At 36.2% G+C, this 27,710-nt stretch overlaps 1 protein-coding gene across 12 annotated transcripts in view, besides 1 other annotated feature; it reads left to right on the top strand.

Moving 5' to 3' along the window:
• AKT3 (AKT serine/threonine kinase 3) overlaps positions 1-27,710 on the top strand; it is a 362,847-nt gene that overhangs the window by 111,846 nt on the left and 223,291 nt on the right. The window lies entirely within an intron of this gene.
• Positions 24,643-26,069: an enhancer, noted in NCBI's record as "VISTA enhancer hs545". NCBI's record gives its function as "enhancer in: neural tube[5/7] | hindbrain (rhombencephalon)[5/7] | midbrain (mesencephalon)[6/7] | forebrain[6/7]" and the evidence as "EXISTENCE:transgenic organism evidence [ECO:0001131][PMID:17130149]".

Genomic DNA, 27,710 nt, shown 5'->3' with positions numbered 1-27,710 from the left:
ATTCAGTTAAATTTTACTCTTTCTTTTTGCTCTTTTATGTATGGCTTTTAGAAAATTTAAAATTACATGTATGTGTCACATTATGTGTCTTATTGGACTACTCCGGCCAGATTCCAGTTCAGAGGCTCTCATAGGAATCTAGATGAGAGATCACCATGATCTGTGCTAGGGTTGTGGCAAAAGCATAAGGTTTGAGAGTGATCTAGGAAATAAAACATAGGATTTGCCATTTGATTAAATGAGAGATGGTGAATTCGTTATAAAGAAGGAAAAGGGAGCCTCCAAGCACAAAAATACAAGAAAATGTATGGTAGCGGAATGGCAGATTCAGACATGTAAACAAGCAAAAACAATGCATGTTATTTTTTATTGACAAACTAAAATAATGTAGTTAAAACAATATTCTTCTACCATTGGATTTTAGCATTTTTAATGTTTGCTTTTTAGTATATACTACCTAATTGCTTCTTTAGAGTTACATAGTTTTGCATTTCTTAGATTGTAACTGAACACTAAATTTTACAGTGTGTAATGGTTTACCATCTTTATTTCCGTGTCATTATCTGTTCATCCTCAACGAGTACTAAGTGGGAAGTGGGACTGGAGACATTTATGTATACTTTTGAGCACATAAATTCTCTAAACATTTTCAAATTTGATAATATAAAATTTATTTACATTTTCTTTAAGATGAAGCTTATTCCTTCTTAAAAGAACAAGTACTTTATTTACATGTGAAGGTTTACTAGACACCTCCCTAAAGTTGAAGCCCTAACAGTATCTGATGAATGTTAAACGTTTAATACTTTCCCCCATTGTCCTCCTAAGAAATAAGATGCATTTCTAGCTTCATTTTCCAGTCTCTTAAGCTTATGAAAGTAGTCGAGACAGTTTGTTGACCCCAAAGAGACCTTTTAGTCTCTGGCTTGTTAGACAACAGGGTCTGTAGTCTTCATTGGCATTCAGATCACAGGCAGCCACTGGGCTCAGTGCAAAGCCAAGCACAGCTTTAGGATTTAGACAAAGCCACCCTGGCAAAGGAACCCAGTTGTCAGGGTAGCTGGCTGTATTGTAAAGAACTGTTGCATAATGGAGAGACCAAGTAGAACTATTAGGATGCAAATGTGAAAAAAATGGTGGAGCTAACCTGCAAAAACAAACATTTCTTTTTTGGTGAAGAGTCTAGTCATTGTTGCTTTCTTCTGTTTTAACTTCTCTGGGCCAGGGATGTAGTCGGTGCAATTTGAGTATATTAGTTATCTTCAGTCATAATGCCATCCTATATTACTTTAAAATGAACAGTTAATTTGTAGGAAGAGACCACAGTACTTCAATGTTTTGGAATCTTTTCATAATTTACAAGTGCATCCTACTTTAGTCTAGATCAATTTTATATGTGATTTTTATTCTAGATTAGATGGGAAATCCTTTTTGCTCCTGATTTTATTTCATCTGATTTATAACAAAATATTGTTCTAATCATTGCCATCCAATGACTTCTCCCTGTGGATTCTCATAGTTGTCCTATTTATTGTAGAATTTTTGGCTCAAGAGGAAAGCTACTGAAATCCTTAAAACAAGAATTGCTTTATTTTACTAATATCTTAAGGAAGTCTACCCTGTCCCTTTTCTCCTTTTCACTTTCTTTTGTTTGTTCATCCCTGTATTGAGTGCTCACTTTTTCTTTTGCTTTCTACTTCTTCATTAGTTCTTTTCTTTCTACTTTTCATCTTTCTTAGCAAAACATTGTAGAACCCACACTTTGATAAATGCTGTGGTAGGGAAAGGGAATACTAGTAAGAAGAAGAAGAAGGAATAACAGAAGGGGCTCCTAACCTGGATTTAGGAGTCAGGGAATAACAATTACACCCATGCCTTACTGAGCTGTTACTACACGCCAAGCACTATTTTAGGTGTTTTACCTGAATTAATCTCATTTAATTCTCATAGCAACCTTATGAGGAAAGCGCTATCACCCCCATTTTGCAGATGAGTATGAGGCACAGAGAAATAAAGTGACTTGTCCAAACTCACATTTTGTGTATGATAGAGCCAAGAAAGGCTTTCTAGAAGTTTTGAGCTTGAAGCTGAGATCCGAAGGTAGAGTAAGAGTTGCCTGGTACACTGTGAATGGAAGCAGGTTATGGGAAGAGGGACCAGCAAAAGTGTGACAGAAAGGACTCTTGCACCTTTCTGGAAGTGAAAGTAGATTAGTAGGGTTTGAGGGATTCTGTGAGAAAGGGACTAGTGAGAAATGATGCTGGAAAGATTGCTCTATGTTCAGATAATTTACATATGTTATTTGTGTGTGACGGTTCATTTATTCAGCAAATACTTGTGTCTATGAAATGCCAGTTGCATGGCTGTTATCTGTTGGGAAGGTGGAAAGAAAATAGCAATATAGGGGTGGCATACATCTGGATGAAGTTACGTGGACTTTGAGGTGTTTTAAAGTAGATGAATCTTAAGCAAAGTCTTAGTACGTCTGTTTTGTTTCAAATCAGCATATGCCTTGACTTTCTCATTTTGTTAGGCTTCCATTTCTTTATCTTCGAACTTAGTACTTGCAAGGCTCCTAATTTCTTTAAGATTGCTGTATAATACCATTCACTTCATTCTTGTTTTGGTTTGCCTTTGAAATAGCTTTAAGAACAAAATACCTCTATAGCTGTTATTTTTCTGACTTTTAAACCTTTATTGGTAGGGCCATTCTTTTTTCTAATTCTTGCTTCTCATTTTCTTCCAGGACTATGATTCCTTCAGCCTTCTTTAGTTCCTTTCTTTCTAGTAAATTCCATTAACAGTGGGCATCAAGTACAGCCATTTAAGGCCTTTTATGTTTTTCTTGACCCCAGGTTTTTGGAATCTGAATGTTGATTTATCACTAAGACAATGATTGGTAATTGTAATTTCTAACATTGATTACTCACTATGGTATGTGCCAGGCACTATGCTAATTGGTTTATATAAAATAACCTAAGCTTTAGAACAACTTTCTGTGGTAGGTGTTACCAAATTATTATCATCCAGTTTTCTAGTGAAATGGGAGTTTCAGAGGGATTGTTATCCAGGTTACACTGATAATAAGTGGCAGAGCCAGGATTTGAATCCATGTATTTGACTACAAAGCATATACTTTTTACCCCCATCTCAAGCTTTCTGTCTAGCACTTGCATTTTCTTATTTTTACAGATTAAAAAAAGTATGTGGCAGATGGTTTAGGCTAAATATAACCAAAGCTAAATGCATCTCCCCCTAAATTACTTACCACTGTACTTAATATTTATTTAGGATGTATTTTGTGTTTAGCACTAGCACAAGGAAGAATAATTTTACTTTTTAATAATATTTGAAATACATACTTTGAACTTCAAATTCATTCTCCCATTCTATTTATTCTTCCATGGCATTGTCTCAAATACCTGTCATTGGCTTCTCTCCTCTACAGTTTGACCCATCAGTTGGGTTTACATTTGTTTCCCACAGGTGATTGTGGTGAGCATGCACCCACTTTTGCAGCTATCTAATAAAAAGATGGAAATAGTTGGACAACTCATATCAACTATGAGAATGACTGGTGATGACTGATAGTAAGAGCTGGCTACTCATGCTAACGTTTGTTGCTAGGTATGTTACAGTAGTCTCTAATAAAAATGGTGGAAAATGTTATGAGAGGAAACGCAACGAAATATTTTTCTGGGTATAAAGTAATGTTACAAATTGCTTTTGGTATGAGTAGCCAGTTAAAGTTTCAAATATCATACTTAGATGATATTTTTAGAAACATGTTGAAAAATAGTCATGTGGTGCAGAATGATGTTTCAGTCAATGATGGACTGCATATATGACAGCGATCCCATAAGATTATAATGGAACTAAAAAATTCTTATTGCCTAGTGATGTAACATCATAGCACAATGCATTACGTTTTTATGGTGATGGTGGTGTAAACCAACCTATTGCATTGCCAGTTTTGTACAAAAGTGTAGCACATACAATTATATACAGTACATAGTACTTGATAATGATAATAAATGACCGTGTTACTGGTTTATGTATTTATTATACTGTTGTCATTTCAGAGTGTACTCTCTCTGCTTTATTTTCTTTTTTAAAGGTTAACTGTAAAACAGTCTCATGCAGGTCCTTCAGGAGGTGTTACAGAAGAAGGCGTTGTTATTGGAGATGGCAGCCCCATGCACATTATTGCCCCCAAAAGCCCTCCACTGGGACAAGATGTGGAGGAGGACAATGATATTGATGATCCTGACCCCGTGTAGGTCTAGGCTAATATGTATGTTTATATCTAAGTTTTTAACAAAAAAGGTAAAAAAAATTTAAGTAGAAAAAAGCTTATGGAATAAGGATATAAAGAAAATACTTTTGTACAGCTGTACAGTGTATTTGTGCTTTAAGCTGTGTTACTGCAAGAGTCAAAAAGCTACAAAATTAAACAGTTTATGAAGTAAAAAAGTTATAGTAAGCTGAATTTATTATTGAAGAAAGAAAAATATTTTGTTATTGTAGCCTAAGTGTACGGTGTTTATGAAGTCCACAGTAGTCTACAGTAATATACTAGACCTTCATATTCACTCACCAGTGATTCACCCAGAGTCACTTCTAGTCCTACAAGCCCCATTCGTGGTAAGTGCCCTATAGAGGTGTGCCACTTTTTTTTTTACCCTGTGTACTGTATTTTTACTGTACCTTCTCTATGTTTAGATTTGTCTAGATACACAGATACCATTGTGTTAGAACTGCGTATTCAGTACAGTAACATGTTCAGATTTGTAGCCTAAAAACTAGGTGTTTCTATGATGTTCACTCAGTGAGGAAATTGCCTAATGATGCATTTCTCAGAATGTATCCCCATCATTAAGCAATGCATGACTGTAATGGAGTAATGTGACCTGGTATTCTTTTTCCTTTTTATAGTTCACACTGTATATTTTTAAACAATACTTCAGTGTTTCAGTTTATTTGTGAACTTTGATTTGTGCACTCATTTACACATTCATACATACATTGATTCACTCCTTCATAAATACTTTATTGATGAAATATTACTTACTGGAAGTGCCAGTGAGGTACAGGAGATACAGCAGTACACAGTGCTGAAATAGTCACAGCCCTCATGGACTTGACAGTGTGTTTATCATTGGATTGGATTTAAGAGAATTAGCTAATTTTTTTCTGTTGAGAGTTCATGCCATATTTGACTTTTGGATTTTCTGAGATTTATATTAATACATTTGAAAATTTTGGTTTTAGAATTAGGCTAATGGTTACAGTTGTACCTCAGTTTATTGTGCTTTGTTTAATTGCACTTTGCACATATTGCATTTTGTACAAATTGAAGGTTTGTGGCAACTCTGTTGAGCAAGTCTATCTGTGTCATTTTTTCCAACAGCATATGCTCACTTGATTAGCATTTTTAGCAATAATGTTTTTAATTAAGATACGTACTTTTTAAAAGACATAATGCTATTGCACATTTAATAGACTATAGTGTAGTGTAAATATAACTTTTATATGAGCTGGGAAACCAGAATTTCATATAACTTGTTTTATTGCCATATTTATTGTAGAGGTCTGTAACTGAACCCAAAAGGTCTCTGAGATATAACTTGTATATAGATTTTGATTTGGTCACTACATATGTTTATGATTGTTAGCTTATACTTATTGGCATTCTGAAATTTTCCTTTTTTCACTTAATATTGTTTTTGTGCTCTGTCCGTGTGCAATGTAGTTACAGCTGTAGCTAAAGCTATTGGTAGGTTATGCCTTTTAGCTGCTGTATAGTATTCCATTTGAATATGTAGCACTACTTTTTATTTATTCTTTAATTGATAGACTTTTAGAATATTTCCCCTTTTCCTCTTCTAGTCAGTTAATACTACAATAATTGAGGTCTCTTATGAGTCAAAACTTTAAACAGCTTTGAAAGAGAGCTATCTTTTGTCTCATTAATGTAATTTTAAAATAGAAGTATTTGAATTTTGCCTTTAGTATTTTTGATATTTGGAGAAAGTTCCAGTTGACTTAGTTTAAATGGAGTCTAGTTTGTGTGCTTTTCATACCTTACCAGTAAAAGTCCTGAACTGGTCATTTTACTTGGAGTGTATGAATTGGCATAGCACAGTACTGAACAGGTAAAAGGAAACAAAGTATAGGAAAGCAGCTAATTATAGTAATTGCAGCTGGTTTCAAAGTACTTCTAACAGTTTGTGCATAATGCTTACTTGAAAGCATCAAATGGGTGCTAGTTGTGAAATAGAACACCTGTTTGTTGTTGAGCATGTGTTTATGCAGATGATTGTTGTTGTCAAAGCACCTTGATGTAGAGTAGTCCTGTTTACATTTACATTCTCCCCAAAGGATTAACAGTGTTCTCTCAATAAATTTGCAGTCTATTCTCCTCTCAAAGGCTGCTGTTTGGAGGGTGGTGTGAAAGAGGCAACAAGTGCTTGCTAATCACTTGAATATACATAATTAGCTGCAGTCTGGTGCACTGGATTCTTTGTAGAACCATAACAATACTGATTGGCAAATGCACATAACAATAGATGTGTCACCATATAGTCCTTGAGAGTGCTGGTTGTTTGTTCATTGGTATTTATTACTTATTTTTCTCAACATGAGTTAAATTTTTATTATCAGTACACAAACTCTTTTCCTGTTCTTTTAAATGAACCAGTGTGTTATATAACAACTCCGTCATCACTAAGAAGCAGTGTTGTAAATTTCTAGACTACCTAGAGTCTGAGGGTATTATTTAAAAACACATTTGCTGTATTTAGTAATTCCAAAGATTGAGAAACGTCCAGTCAGCCACCATCTCTTCCCTTTGGTAGGCTCAGCAAGGGAGTGGAGAAGCTTTTTAATGGAAGAAAGAGGCAGCTTTAGGTATGCTGTGGTTGGAAGGCTGTTGGCATGGGAAAGCTGGAAGTGTGGGTATCTTGTGTGACTGGTCTGGGGAACATCTTAGCTTTTTCTGTTTGGTCCTTGGTTGTCATTGCCCAAGTCCTGACCGTTCTGGGCTCTTGGCTGCAGAGCTTGTGGTTTGCCATCCTGCGTTGGTTGCAAAGGTTGTGGCTCAGAGTTCTGTGGTTATACATGATCTCACTGTTGTCCATTTTATATTCAGCCTCTCAGTGGGTAGTGTTGTTAAGATGAGGCGAAATTTATTTAGAAAAAATATGTAAATCTATATGAGGAACAATATTAAGTAAATAATGTAGATGGCATGTGAATATGACACAAATTGTGAAGGTGGTAAATGAAATTAGGAAGAAAGGAAAAACCGTTACATGGTAATTACATATGAGGCATTTCACTGAGTGTTTTCCCATTTTATTTCATTTTATCCTCTTCAAAGCTCTATAAGTACAATATCATAATCCTGAAATTATAAATGAAGATTCTGAGGGTTAGTGAAGTACATTGGTCCATGGTTGCACAGCTAATAAACAGGAGCTGGAATTCCAACCCAGAGCTTACTGACTTGAGCTTACTGACTTTTGACTCTAAAAAGAGGCACAAACTATTAGTTTACAAATGTGATCATTCCATGAACTGAGATCTTTCAGTGCGTCACTTCTAGTGCCTTCTATTTCTCTTCACAGAACACTCTTTTTGGATAAAGAGGGTTTAAAAAATAATCTCTCTATTGATTTTTAAATAGCTGCGGTGGCTAGCTTCCAAGTCTGCAACTATGTACTTCCTTGTTTCAAGCTGGCCTCACTATGTGTGTAGAGGACGCCTTGGCTTATCCTAGTTACTGTTGCTGTACTGAGACCATCCAGTAAGAGTGACTCAGAGCTTGCCCATTACCTCTTCTTGCCCCTTAGTTCTTGCTGTATATCAAAGCAAGTGTTTTCTAAATTCTTGCAGACTCTTTGTTCTCTATTGCCTTATTATTGGTGATATTGCATGCCATTTATCTTAAACGTATGGATGGTAGAAAACATGAGCTGCTACAACAACATAATATATATCTACAGCAGGCTATTATATATATTTTTTGCTTTCATTTTGGCATGTGGTAGATACTTACATATAAGAGTTTATGCTATGAGCAGAAATAATCGAAATGTCACGGGATCCTTCAGGTGTCACTCTGCCAGCCGGGAACCATTGTGGCCTGTGGCGCCCCTGCTTGAGTTTCACTCACTCCCACTGTGCTCGTTCCACCCACTCAGCCCGGCAGGCTGCACTCAGTTCGCCCAACCCGGATCCCACGCCTGATGAGGGCAAACCAGGCTCAGAGCACTGAAGGGTGTGTGAGAGAGCTAACACAGGGTCCGGCCAGCTGTGGTGGGGCAGGCAGCTCTGGGTGCTGGCAGAGGTGCCGGCTCCTTGCCAGGCTGCAGCTGGAGCAGGCGTACCACACGTAGTTTCTGGTGCAGGTGCTGGTGTCTGGAAAAGGGGGATGCGGTGGCACCTAAAAACTTGGGGACGCCAGCAACTGCAGAGCCTCAAGGAGTGGGTCAGGCGTGCTCTCTCATTCTCTCCACCCGCGGCTCGGCGAGCAGGGGGAGCAGGTTTCAGCTTGTTCAGTCCCACCACCTCACCCCAGCCGGCGGCTCCCAGGCTGGCCCAGCTCCACTGCCACTTCCTGTCACATGGGGCAGCTGCCCAATGCAGGCAGAAGGCAGGAAGGCTATAGTGTTACAGCCCTGGCTTGGGAAATCCTGATGTCTCGGCCCCCAGAAGTGTCACTGCTTTTCACTCCTGCAGTCCAGCAAATGGGAGCATGTCACCACCACAGTTTGGTGAGTTGGCCAGGAAAGTGTTGCAGCCCTTTTCATGCCCACTGTTGGGTGGGTCCCGAATTCTGGTCCTTTGTCCAGGAAGAATGAGGTTACGTGGACAACTGGAAGGTGAGCAAGGTGGAGAAGTTTTACTGAGTAGCAGAACAGCTCAGCAGAGAGGAGACCCAAAGCGGGCAGCTCCTAAGGGTAGTCCTTACTTACCTTGAGTCCAGCTGAAGCTGGGGTTTTTATGGGCTCAAAATGGAGGAAGTGTGTGCTGATTGGTCCCTGGGCAGGAGGAAGTGCGTGCTGAGTGGTCCATGGGTGGACCTGGAAAAAACACCATTTCATTGGCTGAAAGGCGTAAAGGAAATTCTCCCTCCAGGTTGTGGATTCCAGCTAGAAGGAGCAGCCAGGTTTTCAGGCTTCATGCTGTGTGTGCCCTGAAGGTTGGGTTTCACTGGGGACCTGTCCCAATCTGCCTAGGAATTTGTCTGCCTCCTGCCACTATCACAATTTTATTTCTGAAATACACAAATATTTAAAGCTGTTAGGAAGGTGTCAGTAGAGAGACTTGGAAAATACAGGCAAGATGAAAGTAAATTATTCTGGTAATAAAGTGACCCATTCTTATTAGGGAAAATGAAAAATATACATAAAGAAGAACACTGTAATCTATCATTTATTGTCCAGAGATATTACTAATATTTTATGTCTCCTTAATCTTTTGTCTATGCACATATTTTTATTTTTAAAATACAACATTTGGAATTTTATATCTTGCTTTTTTTCTCTTAATATTATGAACGTTTTCCCATATCATTAAGGACTTTTAATAGCATTTTATAATTATTTACCTAACAGTTCTCCCTGATCATTAGACAGTTAAGATAGATTTCAGATCTTTTTTTAAGGTAGATTTTTATGAGTGAAATTACTGGCTCAAAGGATATGGTTACTTTCATGTCTCTTTATAATCTATGAGGTACTTGATTTTTTTCCTGGAAAGGCTGTACCCATTTATGTTCTCACCATATTCTCATGCTTTAAACTCAGTGCATATGCTCTTATTTTCACTAGTATTTTGAATTCCACCCTTTTAATCTTTTCAAAATCTCAAATCATTACCTCTCTTGTATTACCAGTCTCTCCCTCTCTGCTTTATCATTCACACCGGCATATAAAGGTGCAATAGTATCTTCCATCCTAAAAAGAAAAGCCCCCTCTTGACATATTGCTTCCCATTCTGCTACTGCCTCTATTTCTGCTTCTCTTTTAATAAAATTTTATTGCATGGTTTGTCCACACTGGCATCTTTCATATTCTCACCTTGTAGTTAATTTTCTGCCCTAAACTCTAGTTTATTTGGATTTCTTACTCCTCTGAAGAGTCTAGTAAAAATCATTGACATCCGCGTGAACATTTTTCTCTTTCTTTTTCTCCATCTCTTAATATCATTCAGCACAAGTAGCAACTCAATTCTTGAAACCCAACCTTGGTTTCTCCTAACTCATTGGCTCTTCCTTTCTGATCTTGTATCAGTTCTTGATACACTACCTGATGCCTACTTATTGGAGGGCCATGTGACTCCATGGAGGACTCCTTTCCCTAAGGAAAAACTAAGTTTCCCTGAAGTCCTTTTTGTCTCTAATAACTTTTTACCTCTTCTGGGATGTCTGGCATATGACTCTTGCCTTAGAGTCCATAGACTGCAAATGAGTTTGTGCTTTTAATGACACGTACTTTAAAACTCATTGATCTTAGTTTTATTAAGTCTTTAGATTTTTGAAAATTTTCTTTCAAGTGGTTATTCTTTGAAATCGTGAAGAACTGACAGCATATGACCAGACAGTTTTTCTACAAAAGCATTGGGATTGCCTGTCCTGTCCTATCTGTTCCCATAAAGTTTTAGGTGAAATACAAAGGTTTATGATCTAAATTCACAATTGCTAGTATGATGCATTAGCACACCATAAGTTCACAGTACTCTTTGCACTATATTCCTGAATGATTAAAACTTACAGCTGGCATAGTATCAAGTGCTGGCTGCCCAAGTGTCTCCCTCACAACCTATAGATAGAGTTTATTGCCTGTCACAGAAAGGGAGTACACCACCTGGTTAGAACTTTGGCGGTTTCTTGGAGGGAAGAAAGCAAGGATAGTATGTACTGAGAATCAAAGTTTGGTTGAGGTTGAGTGAATACTGGGTGTGTGTGTGTGTTTGATTAAAATTGGATGATGACCATTATGCAACAGCAAGGGATTCAAAAAATCTTACATACTGTTGGGGCTTTCTATTGAATCGTTGATGCGTGTTTCAGGAGTTTGCTGTGATGAACAATCAAACCGTTTGCCAGGGTGAGGCTCTCCCTGAATAGTCAAGTCATGTTAACGTACACTGTGAGTTGTTTAGGGAGTTGATAGTTTTAGTCTTCAAGTTGTATGTGGTTTCTGTTAAACTATTAATGTCATAGGACTACAACATACTACTTCAAGCTCTTAAAATGGCTTTCCCTTATTTTTGAGAGATGTAGCTGAGTGCTGCTTATAGTCAGGTCAATTCTTATAAAACACCAACATCCCTCTATGCCTAAATATCAAATCAGTGTTATAATTATTTTTTTAAACTAAGATTATATCAAATTTTTTAGTTTGATACTTACAAAATAGTTATGATGCTTTTTTTTCTTGGTTCTCTTTTTTTCTTTGCTAGAAAGACTTTGAACTATAAGGATGGAGGTTCCTTTTCTGCAGACTTAAGAAAGAGGATGTGAAACTTGGTGTCATGAGTTCTAAATACCTCAAGTTATTGTTGCAAGAATAGGGTTTTCAGTTTTGCAATTTCAGCCTATAAATTACAATGAAGAGTAAGAGTCCTTATAATAATAAACTTTTGGGGCTGGGAGCAGTGGCTGACACCTGTAATCCTGGCAATTTGGGAGGCTGAGGTGGGAGGATCATTTGAGGCCAAGAGTTCTAGACCTTCCTGGGCAACATAGCAAGACCCTATCTCCACAAAAAGTGAACAAAATTAGCCACGCATGGTAGTGCATGCCTGAAGTCCCAGCTACTTGGGAGGATTGCTTGAGTCAGGAGGTCAAGGCTGTGTTGAGCTGAGATTGTACCATCGCACTCCAGCCTGGGCAACAGAGCAAGACCCTGTCTCAATCAATCAATCAATCAATCAACTAACTTACTTTTGGTATTGTATGCTGATTTATGAAGGTTGAACCTAGGATTAAATGTTGTCTTTTGTCTGCCCTTTATTTTTCTTCCCTTAACAGATGCCATGTTGAGCTGCCTTGTCCTGATTTTGACCCACAATGTGTATTCAGCCTCAGCACTTATTATGTAGGTTAGGCTCCTTTTAAATGTTAATGTTTCACATTTATGCTTGTGTGAATTGCTCATTTTCTGTCATAACCTGGGGGTATGGAAGGAATCTGTTGAAGACCAAGGAGGTGGGCTTTACCACAATACTGACATCTCTTCTCAGCTCAGGCAGGGAGCCTTGGCTAGGCCACCTATTGCCACTGCCTAAGTAGAAGGTGATTGGCAGAATCTTATCTGCTTTGCTTTGACTTTTCATTGCCAGAGTTTGTTGAAGGATGCCAGATGTTTGGGAAAACAAGTTTCTTTTTGCTTTCTATCCCTATTCTTGCCAAATTCTTACCTGTTTTTTCATGAGGATGCCCTGGCTTGCAAGAAAAAGCAAGAAAAATAAAAACATAAGTTTGATTCTTAATTTGAGCATTCTGACCCATTTTCAGCTTTATATATCCTTGGTCCATTTTTCTTCCTGTTATTTTGACAACTCTCATGGCTGTGGGACTGAGTGCTTGTTCATAGATAAATGTTAACTTTCTTTTGGGTTGAAAAAGAGAATATTGGTTGCTAAGTTGAGCAACCACAGACTGAGATTTTCAGAAAATTGACAACTTCTTTTGAGAATTTACCTGTTGTAAGTTATAGAAACTGAACTTAAATATTACCAAACAACCATATTAAATATTTGCCATATTTTAGATTGTTCCCTGCATTAATTGAGTTCACTTTATAGGTGTAAAATATTTTTATATTTAGTAAGCAGATCAAATAATATTAACCCCACAACTTTTTCCCACACGTTAAAAAACACCTGACTCTTCATCCAGATAATTTTTCCAGATTTCACCACTGGAATTTACTTATACATCCTTTAATACCTAAATAATCAGTCTTGTTCTGATATTATCTGCCTTTCGTAAATAATTGAAATGGATTTGGCTTACATATTGGGGCGTGGGTTAACCTCCAGTTGGAATTCTAAATTTATCAAACTTAAGATCTGTTAAAATGCCCAGCAACAGAATAATTAAAACAGATTTGAAAAGATGAGTAGCACCCACCAGCATACTAGACATTAATGTTGGAGGTATGAAATTCCAGACATTAATGTTGGAGGCATGAAATTCCAGAGCTGCCTGCACTAGGCCTTTATGAGAACTAACCTTTTAAAAAGGCCAGTAGCTTTCCTAGTCTTCTACGAAGTGCCAGATAGATGAGTGAATGTGTATAAACACCTTTCTGTGTGTACTTTTTAGCTATTACTTTGAAAATTGTAACAACATATATATTGCTTATCCATTTTGAATCAACTGTGACATCTTTTAGCCATGTATATGTGGCATATGTATTGTTTTCATTAAATCGTCGAAATTATATAAGCCAGTTACCACTTTTCACTAATTTTTTTTGGCAATGGTATTTTGGAAGAATTAAATATATTTGAACTGTATATTGAAGTAGTCAAAGTGACCTTCAAAAGGAATGTAATGATCTTAAATATAATATTTTATCTTATTTAGTTGTCACAAGGACCTTATTTCTGTGGTTATGCCCCCGACCCTTAACCCTTGCAAATCTCCGTATGCAGTGAGCAGTGTTACTGCTGGAGTATATTATTCTTGTCTCTGAAGTAGAGACACAAAAAAGGCTGAGTTCTGTTCTGTTATTCTGCTAGATTGGTCACATATTCCTGGAGAGTGGTGTTATAATTTTTTTTCCTGCATCTTTGCAGATAGCACAGTGCCCCCATGGAATACTTCACTCACTCTAGTCACTGGTGAAGTCCTACTCATCAACCCTTCAAGTTATAGCTCAAGTTTCACCTCTTGTATCTTGTCTTCCCTTGTCACCATTTGAAAGTAAACTCTTCCTTCTGAAACTGTCAACACTTTCCAGAACTTTTCTTACTGCCCTTATTGCAGTTTCATTTCTTTTTCTCTTTTTTTTTTTCTTTAAAGACAAGGCTCGCTCTGTCTCTGAGGCTGGAATGCAGTGGCCTTATCATAGCTCACTGCATCCTCAAACTCCTGGGCTCAAGCTAACCTCCCGAGTAGCTAGAACTACGGGCATGCATCATCATGCCAGGCTAATTTAATTTTTTTTTTTTTTTGGTCTAGACAAGGTCTTGCTATGTTGCCGAGGCTGGTCCTGGACTCCTGGCCTCAAGTGATCCTCCTACCTCAGCCTCCCAAAGTTCTGGGATTATAGGTGTGAGCCACTGTGCCCAACCCTACTTTTGTTTCTTGTGTACCTGATTTTTCTTCTATATTGTAGGATATTTTATAACAATAGTTGCCTTTTCTTCATCTTTTTTCCCTCAGAAACTGGAAAGTATTTTGTTGGCCAGAGATCTGAATGATTTAAGAATGATTTTAGTTTAAAATTCAGTTTTTTCTCCCAGGAGATACTGAGCTCTTAAATTAGTATTTCTTAAAGGGAGGGCAATAGTCCACCTGTATTAGAACCCCCTTAATCCTTGGTAAAAGTGTAGTTTTCCAGAAAATGAAATTAGAACTTGTGGGTCTGGATCCCAGAAGATGGATGCATTTGTATTAAGTGCCATGGTAAGTCATATTTACACAAAAACTGAAGATTCATTCCCTTAAATTATTATGGAAATAAATAAACATTAAGATACCATAAGTCTTATAATGTAGGAAAAAATTCCTTACTTTTGCATTTGAAAAAAATATGCTTTTGAAAACTAAATTCCTTATTGATTCTCTGTTTTTGGTCTTGATTACTGATTTGCTCACCTAATAGTTCTCTAATGTATGTAGGTTTAAGGAACTAAAAATAGAGATATTACTGACTGAACTAGTTAGTATGTAAAGTAGAAAATGGTACAACTGCATACTCAGTAACGGGTAGTTTTACCTTTTTCTGGATTCTTTTTTTTTTTTTTCCCCTCAATTTTTCTAGATTTTGGCCTACCTTGTATTATCTTGTTTGTTTGGTGTTAACTTTTTCTTTTGAGGACTGCAGGGATGACAGTCTTGTTTTCCTCTCCTGTATCACACAGCATTGTTACAGTGGCTCAGAAAAGCATTTCTGAATACTTTGAGGATTATTTATGTTTGTTATAAAATGAAATTTGTTGTTTCTGACTCGGAAAATAAGGATATAAATTTCATAGGAATGCATTTTAAATGAAGTTTCTTGAGAGAGACAGCTTTAACTTGAATTTTGCAGCAGCATCTAAAACGAAGCCAATGAAAACACCTTTTTTTCCCCAGACAGATATTACTCTGTCTCTCAGGCTGGAGTGCACTGGTGCATTATGGCTCACTGTATCCTCCACTTCCTGTGCTCAAGTGATCTTCCACCTCAGACTCCCAAGTAGCTGGAACTGCTGGCAGGTTCCACTATGCTTGGCTAATTTTTTTTTGTATTTTTTGTAGAGACAGGATCTCTACCCAAGTCTCAAACTCATATGATGTCCTCAAGCCCTCCCACCTTGGCCTCCCAAAGTGCTGAGATTACATGCATGAATCACAGTGCTTGGCGTCAGTGGAAACACTTTACTCTTGATTGTGCCATTTTCCATAGGGGTTGGTGGCTGGATTGTACTTTCTAGTTGTGAAAGTAATGGTGAGGTAATGGCTTTGAGTCTAGGGATCAGATCCTTCAATCAGTAGTAATATAAGTGAGAAGTATTAATATGACATAGTGAATTATCTATAATTTCTAGAGAACATTTAACTTGCATTCTTAGATCTGGAGATGGAGGACCGGTTGATTCAGACTACATTGGCTTCAAAGTGATAAATTCTATATTCACCTCTACTAGGACATATAGAAAAAGAAAATAGCTTTGAAAGTATGGCTCTTTCTTTCTTCTTTTTCTGAATAGTGACAGGCATCTATGAATAGTGATGAATTCAGGAAAACTCCTAGGCTAGACGTTATCTTGACAGTTGGTGGACAGATGCTCCTGATTTGAGTGTGAGACTGAGGTATTCAGAAAGCACTTCAAAACACTCTCCTATGCCAGCTAACATTATTTTCGTTATATTGTGATTGAGTTTTTAGTTGCTTTGTAATAATCCCTCAGATAAAGGGCCTGGTGTGAGCTGGGAAAAATGTTTATGATTTATTTTGAGCATAACAGCATATAGTCATTTTTATAAATTGTTTTTCAGACCTTATTATTACTTGTAAACTAATGTATTAAAACACATATTAACATATTAACAATTTCACATTGAACATTTTAAATGAAAATAATAAATGTTAATGTTTAAATGAAAAGTGGCCTTGATAATTTTGAAAATGGGTGCCCAGACTTACTGCATTTCTTGAGAAAGATTAATTGCTTCCTAGACAGGGTTCTTACGGTGATAGTTGTTTTTACATTGCTCATGTCTAATATAATATTTGAGGTATAATTTGCCATGGTATTTCTTTTTCTGAGTTAGTTGATGTTTTATTGAAGACATGAATCATTATGTGATTCTCTCCATTTAGGAAAAAATTTTCCATCTTTTTCAGTGGGGATTGGGCAGGTCATTCTCATCCAGGGTTCTCTAGTTTAGAATTTGTTCTTCTTAGTCTGAAGGAAGTTGTTGACTTTTTATGTGTATTATAAGGGCCTTCTTTAACTTCGTGCTTTGGTCTGGGGGTGTGATGATTACTAGAAATGGTGAAGTTATGTGATGGGGGAAATGCCTTTTATAAAACAAATTTTGGCAATTATGTTGTTTTCCCCTTAGCATTTTATTCATATGCATGTACTCAGAAGCATGCACAGAATATTTAGACATGTTAACATTTAGATGGAGCTGCTTTGATGGAACTTTATATTATAGAGTAAATTTAGGTTGTTGCTATTTTAATGTATATCTTTTTCTCTGAAGTTTTATAGTATAATGTTTCTTTTTTATGATAACCAGTTCAAATGTAAGCATAATATAATAAAACCTTAAGCTCGCAGTCTAGTCCTTGCAACACGAATATATATAGCAGATGTGTCAAAATATATGAATTGTTCTTAATGTTAAACTTTTGTTCGTGAGAATAACGTAACACCTGCTGTGACCTGCTAAGCTGTGTAAATTTTAATGACTGTAAAACTGAAATGTATTCATAGCCAAAATGTGTTTGGAAATTATTTGGAATGTCTTATGCTTGGCTCCTTTAGAGATTTTGTTATATAATATGTAGAAATTTAAATCTGCTATAAAAGTTGAAAATTATTATAACGTCTATGTTACTTAAAAGTTATCTAGAAAATTATAATACCTAGGTTACTTATATCTTTTCTTAAAAAAGTTATCTGTAGGGTAATCTCACCTCTGATGTGCCTTGCCTGGAAGCAACAGGAGTGTTATCTAATACTACACAAATTTGTTTCCTTTTAGCAGTGGCATTCTTTTAATTCTACAAATATTTTGATACCTTCTAAAAGTAGGTAGGATTACATTGGCATAGTAAATTTCCCAGGGTTATTAACTCCTTTTTCTCTCCATTATGTAAAAAATAGTAAGAAAATATAAGAATTATAAGGGTACTACTAGTTTATATTTGGTAGTATAGTAGTGGAAAGGGAATGATCCCTTTCCTCCCCATCATAAGGGTTATGGCCAACACTCCTATAACAAAATACAGAGTAATAAGAGAAAAGCATAACAAATCTGTTTAATTATAGTTTTACATGACACAGGAGCCTTCAGAGTGAAGACCCCAAACATATGGGACAACTATCCATTTTTCAGTGCTTAGGTTCAGTGAAAAATGGACAGCTATGTAGAAATAGGACTGGACAAAAAGGTTATGATCTAATATTAATAGACTGCATATAAAAACTCACCAAGACCTGTCTGTTCAGATTCTTCTTGGCCTCTCTCTTGTAATGTTTCTTCCTCCCAGGTATGGGACAGGACCCCTCTGATGAGGGTCTTATGACCTATATTATTGGGACAAGGGTAGGTCAGAGAATTTCTAGACAGAATTTCTGTCTAGGCCAGTTCCTAGACAGAAAGGTGAGGGGAAGGTTAGAGTAGTAATTGTAGTTTTTATGGCTGGCTTTGGAGAAGAGAGATCTAGTCTTTATTATCTGCTTTGGTGAGGAGGAATTCTGGTGTCTGTACTTGCTTTGGGGGAGAATGAGGGGCAAGAGACAGGAGGGCAGGAGAAGATGAGAGAGATCCAGGTTCTGAGGCTGCTTCTGATACCTTCCAGTGCAAAGTACTTTGTGTGCTGAAGTGCCATATTTTGGAGTATTGTTTTCTGAGCTCCAGCATTAGCCCTATTTGCCAGTAGAATATGGTGTGGCAAGTACTTTAAAAGAATGCTTTACATGCTTATTTTCTCAAGAGTATATACCGTGAGCTTTTCGGAATAGTTGGACCATCTGGGAATACGTAAAAAATAAAAGGAAAAGGACAAGAGATTATTGCATTTTGATTGGCTCCAAATTGTATTAACCCTTAATATTTATCTACTTTATAATTTTAAGATACTAATATTTGAGGAGATCTCTTTATTCGAATTACTGGTTTAAGATAATATTATGATATTAACAAGTCTCTTTTTTTCTCCTCACATCTTTTAGACCAGAGCAGACAGGCCAAGTCAGGCTGAGATCCTATTTATGATAAAAATCATAGAACTCTATGTAGTATTGATAAAACACATGAAGATTATATTATACTTAGCTTTTAATTATATTTTGACATTTGCTCATGTTTGATTTAGAACTTTTTTTTTTTTTTTTTTTTTTACTATGTCTTTTGGTCTCATCAAAAAGATTTTAAGATCCTTTTTATTTTGGCAAAAATATATGTAACATGAAATTTACCATTTTAACCATTTTTAACCATTTTTATTTTTATTTTATTTTTAATTTTTTTTGAGTTTGAGTTTTGTTCTTGTTGCCCAGGCTGGAGTGCAATGGCACGGTCTTGGCTCACTGCACCCTCACCTCCTGGGTTCAAGTGATTCTCCTGCCTCAGCCTCCCGAGTTGCTGGGATTACAGGCATGTGCCACCATTCTCCGGGCAATTTTGTATTTTTAGTAGAGATGGGGTCAGGCTGGTCTTGACCTCCTGATCTCAGGTGATCTGCCCACCACAGCCTTCCAGAGTGCTGGGATTACAGGTGTGAGGCACCGCGCCCGGCCACCATTTTTAGATATACAGTTGCTTTCATTTCTTATGTCTCTCTCTTAACACCAAGGTTATTAAGTAAGTATTTAAGAACATACAAGAGATGTTCAGTGTAGCAGAGATTGGCCAAATCCGTTTGCGCGTAATACACCTACTCTGCCCTAGCACCAATCTAGACTGTTTTTTGCAGCTGTCTTGGAGTTAGGTGTGGCCATACGACTGAGTTCTGGCCACTCACATGTGAGCAGAATTAACGCATGCCTCCTCTAGGCTTGGGTCATGAACATCTGTGTTCAGTGTTCTTTCTCTCTTCCCTTCTGATGGCAGTCATGAAACCAAGGAGATGGAAGAGCCTCTAAAAGGGAGGATTCTAGGTCCTTCAGTCACTGCCATTGAAAGGAAACATTGTTTTGACCTTACATGAGCCAGAAACAAAACTTTCATTGTAGTAAAGCACTAAGTTGTCATGATTTACCTCTCTCAGCAGCCAGCATTACCTTCACTGATACACTCAACAGTGATTTGAGTATGTAATTTAGTTTACTCAAAATATACTTCTCATTTCTTAGCAATTGGAATTGGTAGTCAGGAAAACTAAAGTTGAACTGAGGAGTGAGAAATTGGGGTGTGACTCCAGTTGGAGGAAGACTTGGTGTGGAACTCGATGAGATGAATAAAAGATAGAACAATTTGGAATGTTTTGTTAGGGAATTGATACAAAAAACTTAAAGTTAGCAGAGAGTTATGTGAATAAATTAGAGTAATTTTGGGAGTTGTAGGAGTAGGGGGGCATTATGAAATAAGAAAAGTCTCTGAGAGTTGGGATAGGATTTAAACACTATCGGTTTTTTTAAAAAGGAATTTTGCCACATTCCACATGCAGCTTGCAAATGTTTTTGCAATGACTGTCTTGACATATGTGATACTCAGAAAAAGGTGGAATGTTTAAATGAATAGAACTGCATACCTTATATATCTTGTTTGCTGGGAGTTAGATTCATTACTTGAATAATTTCCCTAATGAGTCATTCCCTTAGGGGAATTATCCCTAAGGGAATTATCCCCTTAGGGAATGACTTATCCCATGAAAATAATTGGATTATGGCTTGTTTTGTGCATATATGAAATCCAGTTTGTTGGACTTCTACAACACCTAAATATAGGTGAAATTTACCTTGTGTTTTGGACATGCAAAATATTGGATAGAATATTTAAAAAGAAAAAATTCATCAATTCATTTTGCTAGCATTTACTCTTCATAATTGAAGCTGAGGCTGGGTGCGGTGGCTCATGCCTGTAATCCCAGCACTTTGGGAGGCCGAGGCGGGCAGATCACGAGGTCAGGAGATCGAGACCATCCTGGCTAACACGGTGAAACCCCGTCTCTACTGAAAAAAAAAATACAAAAAAGAAAATTATCCAGGCGTGGTGGTGAGGGCCTGTAATCCCAGCTGTAAGGGTAGCAGCCTCGGGAGGCTGAGGCAGGAGAATCACTTGAATCCAGGAGGCAGAGATCGCAGTGAGCCAAGATCATGCCACTGCACTCCAGCCTTGGCGACAGAGAGAGACTGTCTGAAAAAAAACAAAACAAAACAGTAGATAGGTAAAATGTTTGTGGCTTTAGATAGCTTTTTTTTAAAAAAAACTTTAAAGTGAAGATTTAATAATTATAAATTAAAAATACACTACATGACTCACTTGATGTTTCCAATTTTCATCTCCTATGTAAGTAACGATACAGAGAATGCATACAATCGTTGGCTTGTGGACATCCATGTCCCCAGTTGTGTGTATGTTGGAAATGGTTATAAGACATGGGGATTTTCTTACCTCCTGTTCATAATTGCTTCAGCTACAGATCAGATTCCCTTCTAAACAAATGGTAAGAGACCACCTCAGCTGAGCCTTGGGTGGTGTTTTAGGAGCAATTGCTACTCTACTTGAAAAGGAAAGGTCCTCTGTTTTCTTATGCATAGCATCCAATGTAAAATGAATGTAGCTCTCTTCTTTGACCTTACTCTTATTTGCATACTTTAATGGGTGTAATCATAGAAATGTTGCATATTCAGCATAACTGGATTCTAACTTATAATTTATTTTAAAAATAAAAGTACTGTTAAAAGGAATTTGAGATTCCAGGATTTCTTACAAGTATAATGTACAATGTATGTTTTATGATCGAAATTAGCTGGACTTGAAGTCAAAAGAACTAGTTCAATAACATGTGTCTTAACTTGAAATCTTGGTTTCCTAATCTGTAAAATCACCAATATACTAGAATCTTGGTGTTAAAAGTAACCTATGGGGCAGTTTGATACCACCTTTAACTCAGAACTCAAATTTCTTTTATAACATCTTTGATATGTGGCCGTCCAATGATAGGGTGCTCAGTGTCTCATTCTTTAATCAGGTGCTTATAGCTTTGAAACTCTTGAGCATAGAATACTGATGGTAATATTAATATCTGACTTGTCTCTCATATGAAGTAAGGAGAATGAAAGCAAATATTAAAGTAGCAAGTAGTAGTTATACAGTGCTTTTTTAACTAATGACATGTGGGAACTAGTTACCATTTGTATTAATAATTTTTTAAAATGATAAACTAAATTTTAAATCTCTGACAATGACCATTGGAACCCAGCCTGTTTATCAGGTGGAGTCTGCCAGTGCTTCCAGTATTTTTGATACTACCTAGTCCTTGAAAATTAAAAATCTTGACCCACAATTTAAAAGCCACTGGGTATGACTCTTGGGAAGACATTTCGATTACCTAGTATACTAAAAGACTTTAATACAAATTGAAATTATATGGAAGTTACTTAAACATTTCTAAAGTAACACTAAACCACATTCTTTAATGTATTATGTGTCATGGGTAGCATTGCCTGGAAGAGGTAGCAGCAAGCTGAGTTTATGAAGGAAAAAAACTTCTGAGTGAGCTAAGGAGCTGGTGGGTAGAGTGTGGAAGATGGAGCAGACAGACTGAGATCCATCCAGGCCTGGGAGGGGAATGGGAGAGAGACCAGGGACAGAAGCCAGACTTGACACAATCCCTGAAGAAGATAAAAGAAAGTGATTTAATCACCTTCCAGATCTTACTTGCAAAAGGGCTACCTGTATTCTTTGGATGAAGTGTTAGTATTATTAGAATGACCCATTTTTACTTGTGTTAGCTTCAGTGGATCTTTGTTCCTTGTAACTGAAAGAGTTCTAATAGAGCACTAAGGTTAAAGACAAGTATCAGGGGTAAATATTTGGCTGAGGCCTGCTTCTGAATACTATTCTAGACATGACCTCTCCTCTTTTCGTTCTTTTTTCCACAACATCATTATAAAATATGAAGTAATCCTTTTTAATTTCTTGTCTTTCTGAATTTAAAATTCTATGTTAGGTATTCTCATTGCTTGATTTGTGTTTATTATAGAAATGAAGAGTTTGTTTTAAACTATGCATTACTCGAATTTCTGCTGAGGAAGTCCATATCCATATGTTAGGTTTTTTGCATCCCAAAGTCTTGGATTAGGTTTTGCCATCATTGTTAGTGTATCAATAGACCACTGCATTATTTTCTTAGTGGTATGTCAGTCTTTGACTTAATATTTGCAAGTATTTAATAATACCCCATACATTATAAATTAAATTGTATTTGGTACCTGCTAGATCTTATGAGAAATTATTCACATTTAATAAGAAAACAGCAACTTGTTACTTTTGTGGCAGATATGAGCTCTTAAAAGATGCAACGTAGGTAAATAAAAATGAGAATGTTTACCAGACCCACTAGGATCATTTGGTTCTGTAATTCTTATTTATGAACATTTTCTTACAGCTTTGTTCTAATTTAATTATCCCTATTCCCCTTTAGGTAAAGGATATCAGAATTGTGATTATATGAAGAAGAATTCTTCTTAAAAATCATGTATTCTTGGCAAATATTTCTTATTAGAAGCTTTTAAAACAGTCTTAATTTTTCCTTACAGACAAATTTTTCTGCAGTGTTGTCATTGATATAATCAAAATGGTTTCAGGTAGTTCAGAAATTGTTGACAGACTTAACTAAGAAAAACTTTTGATCAAATGGTGTAACAACACCTTTCCTGGACAAAGCCATCATTATTCTGTTAAATTTTCAGATCTTATATTCACATCCCATTTACCCTAAGTATTATCACTAAATGGAGTATTCAGTGTACACACATATCCTCAACTTGATTTTCCTAAATGGAAACAATTTTTTTTTCTCCACTAAGAATGGCTTTTTATTCATATGTGATAAAAAGATAAGTCATTTGGTAACACCTTTGAACCTGTTTTCAAAATAATGAAAAGTTTCTCTTCTAAAAATACTTTTTTTCTTTCCCTCGTTTATTTAACAAGAAGAGTTATTATGTAATGTTTTTCTGCAGATTTTTAGAAAAAGAATGATCTCTCTCCACTTTGTAGAGAATGATCCCATTTTTTGTTTAACACCAGATAGTATCATGACATTGTTAATACAGTAGGATTCACCCAGTTTGAAAGTATGCAGAATCAGACTTCTGTTGTTGGTCACATATTTCTCAATCAAAACATCTGTCTATGTCGAAACCAAAGTCGGCCCAGTATAATGAACTTTTAAGACCCATGTTAATATTTAAAAATATTTGGTAAACTGTAAAGCAGTATACAAAAGTGAATATTTTTATCCAAGGTGTAAATTGGTCATATGGCCCAATACCAGTAGCATAAAGGGAAGCCACTATACTAGTAGTGGGTGACCAAGTTTATTTCTGTTAAGCCAAAATGGAGATTTATTGTAGAAAATTATTAGTGGTACTTTCTGGATGAAGCCATTCCTTCTTAATGTAATTATGCCCAATTTCCTGGGTGGAGTCACAGTCTTTCTTCTAAAGACAGATTACTTCAAGCTTTAGTAGGGACTCTTAGTTCTGTCTTGAACTAACAATACCTTAAAATATTCTGCTTCTTCATGTCCCCAAAATATTGATCAGAAGGATACTTGTGGTCAAATGGATGCTGTAGAAATTCAAACCAGTGATTTTACTCCACTTGAAATTTAAAGGATTCATATGAGTTCTAGTTGAGTATGTCAGTTTTAGAACATAGTTTATATTGAGTAAACACAGAATATTTTACCTAAAAGGGTCACACAGATGTCATTACAGTGAATTTACTTCTGATTAAACTAATCTTGTTCCCTATATATTTTGATATATATTGTGCCATGATAACCAGTGTACTATTAGTGTTATTAAAGTCTTTCTTCAAATAGTAGATTTTTATAGAATTTTGAAGTAGACAAAATAAGTCAATTTATGTTTAGATTTAAAAAAAATGTGAAAGCTTTTCTATATTCTCCTCCCCGTGCCAGATAGGTGCTTGGCACAGAGTACTTAATAACTATTTAATAAATGACAGAATTTCTTTTCCTAAAATTTTTAGGACATATGCAAGGAAATTTCTCTTGCATCTAGGTTTACTGATGTATATGAGGAAGAGTTACATCTGCTTCAGTGAAATACAAAATTAAACCAGGTGATCTTTCTGAAAAATTATTCTTATGGTGACATATCAGAAATCTTATCAACAGCTATAGTTTATTCTGTTGGAATTTTCAAAATACACTGTGCCTTAACTTAGAAACACTCCAATGAACTTGTATTCATTAGTGTTTTGTTGAGTTAAAGAAAAAATATCTGTACAAAGTGGACACATTGTTTAATTTTGTTTTGCATTTTACTAGATTGCAGTGCAAGGCCAATAAATTAAACCTAGGCAGTTCTCTTGCTAATTACACACAACTTATCTTGAGTATCAGATATTCAAATCCATTTTATGAATATGGTAGAGAGAATAACAACTGTAAAACAAAGCAGTGTGCATGTAAGTGACTGTTAGCGTGCATTTCAGAAAGGATAAATGCTCACCATATGGTACAATTACTGTGTCCAAGTTTTCAAATTAGCTTCTCTCATCCTCCTTATTACTGTCTTTAAAAAGAGAGGAAAAAACCCAACATGATTTATCTACTCTGCAGCAGAACTCTTGACGCAAAACAGCAGCCCAGTTCTGTCCAGTTTTTTTTTCCCTTAGCATAATAGAGGCTGTCGGACTTTTTTATACTAATTACTGTGTGAGCCTCAGATGAACCCCCTTCAATTCACAGGGCTTTGTTAAGGGAGGAGCTGTCAATGTGTCTGCCCGTTTGCAGCTGTGCTGTGGCTTTAGCTTGCTTAACATTATGCTGCTTTTTAGACTTGACAGAAGGGATTTTTTTTTTTTTTTTTTTTTTTTTTTTATTAAGGCAAAGCAGCCTTGTAGCGAAATGGTTTAAGCAGCTGCATTGTAGGGAAGCACAAAGAAGTTATTATTGTGTCTGTTTAGGGGGGTAGGATGGAGGGGGAGATATTCGGCTGCTGTTGATGCCGATTGTTGACTTGCCATCTGCCAGATAGGGAGAAGAAAAAAATGACAGCTCCAGCAGGGTGTTCAAGAGGTTGTTTGGAGAGACGCATAAACATGTGCAGATGTCGAACTGAATAATGGCTAGAACTTGAGACGGTTTATGATGCTGCTGATGTTTGTGCATATACAGAATGAATGTATGTGTGGATTTGGTTAACCAAGGGTACATACTAATTATCATTGTTTTCCTGCATCCCCCCTCCCTTATTTCGTTAATTAGTTTAGGGGTTTAATACTTCCTCTTCTCTCCCTTATTCATGTCTAGTTTTAGAAAGCAACTTCTTTAAATGGCAATACAAAGTTTCTTATTTCTCCGTGTTGATGGTAGATAACCTGTTTGGCTAATGTTAGGTGTGTACTGCTAACTGCCAAGAGGAGCTTTTGATGAAGGAATCAGTCAGGTGATTTGGTGTGATCTTAATGCATACATGAACGTTTTAACACTAGTCGGCACATAAACTATTTTAAACTGAATCGATTTGTTTCATAGCCTACCACTAGGGGTGAGGTAGAGAGTACCCAGTTTATTTTGTAAGTAATTCCATAATACTTTGAACTTAAATGTCGTTAGTTGTGAAACAAAGTTATATAGTAACCTGGCCTTTTTGATCAGTACATACTCTTTTTCTCATGGTTGTCATGGATTCTATAAATGACAAGCGTGCATTTTTATCAAGCATTAATGAGTTGGTTGTATATTTCCTTCTGATACATTCTTGACATTAGGTGTTAGAGATTTGATATATCTGGAATGTTTTCAAATGCTGTGATAACATTTATATTTAGATGGAAGTGAGCATGTTTACTTAAATGTCTGGTTTATTACTTTCACCTTAAATAATTGAGAAGAAACAGTGACCTTAGGTAAAAATTTTCCATATTACTTATTTTCTAGAACACCAAAAATTTTTGTAACATTTCAGAACCAATCAATATGAATGGAATAACTAGAAAACAAAAAAGAGAAGCTCTGACTTTTCTCCTTTTTTCTTTTTTCCGCCCAATGTGGACTTAACATTTCAAAAAAAAATATGTGTGGAGAATTAAAAAGTGCTTATGTTGACTTTTGGAACTCATGCCTTCCTAAAACATTTAAGGTTTTGTTGCATAATTATCAAGCAGAAATTGCCCAAAGCATGGTTGAAAGGCCAACGTACTGACAGAGCTTCGTGTCCAGAGTAATGTCTTTCTGAAAGAATTAAAGGAAGGTTATCTGTTATTTTCTGCTTTTCATAAAGAAATAGAGGTCAGGTCTATCTAGAAAAAACTTTCTCTCTCACCGTCAGTTTTTACTCAAGTGACTCTAATCCGTGTTTGCTGAAAAGGCATAGAAAATCATCAGCCACCTTGACTTTTCCTTTGTCTCATGTATTTATTTCTTTTATATAGGTGGCCGTGAATATATCCATATTTGTGTGTAGGATTATGTCCATGTATTTACAGTTTCATAGTCAATCCTAATATCCCTACCAAGTTTGGAGGCGAGCAGTATGCCATTTTTTAAGTAGAAGGTGTTTGTTATTAAAGTGAGAGGGTATGGTTTGTCAGTGGTCAGGATATTAATGAGTGACTGGGAAAAGCAAGCTTATACCAACTTTTATACACAAGCAAACTTGCAGGTCTATGCTTTATTAATGATATGTTACTTCTGATTCTTTCAGAGCCATTTGCTAAATCTTAGTAGTACAGGCAAGTATACATATTAAGGTGATTGAAATATTAAAGGCAGAATGTCTTTGAAGTTACAAAGACCAGATTTAAATATCACTTAACTTAGATGAGTGAATTTACTCATAGTCACTTAAACTATTTAAATGTGAATTTCTTCATCTTTTGAAAGAAGGAAACAATACTTGCTATTCAAGGATCTTGTGAAAACAAAATGAGATAATATATTTAGAATGTCTTGAATGAATTCAGTAGTAGCTGTTAGTATTTTTATTAGGTGTTATGTGCAAGTCTAGAGCTCTGTAGCTATTACAATTGGAGTATTTATATAATGCTCTGACTATCATAGAATAAGAATACCAAGCTGTAGAGGCTGTTTGAGAGAATG

This window comes from Homo sapiens, chromosome 1 (genome assembly GCF_000001405.40).
Source record: "Homo sapiens chromosome 1, GRCh38.p14 Primary Assembly".
NCBI classification, from domain to species: domain Eukaryota; kingdom Metazoa; phylum Chordata; class Mammalia; order Primates; family Hominidae; genus Homo; species Homo sapiens.
The sequence above is the reverse complement of the archived record's forward strand: the minus strand, read 5'-3'. Positions and strand labels throughout refer to the sequence as shown.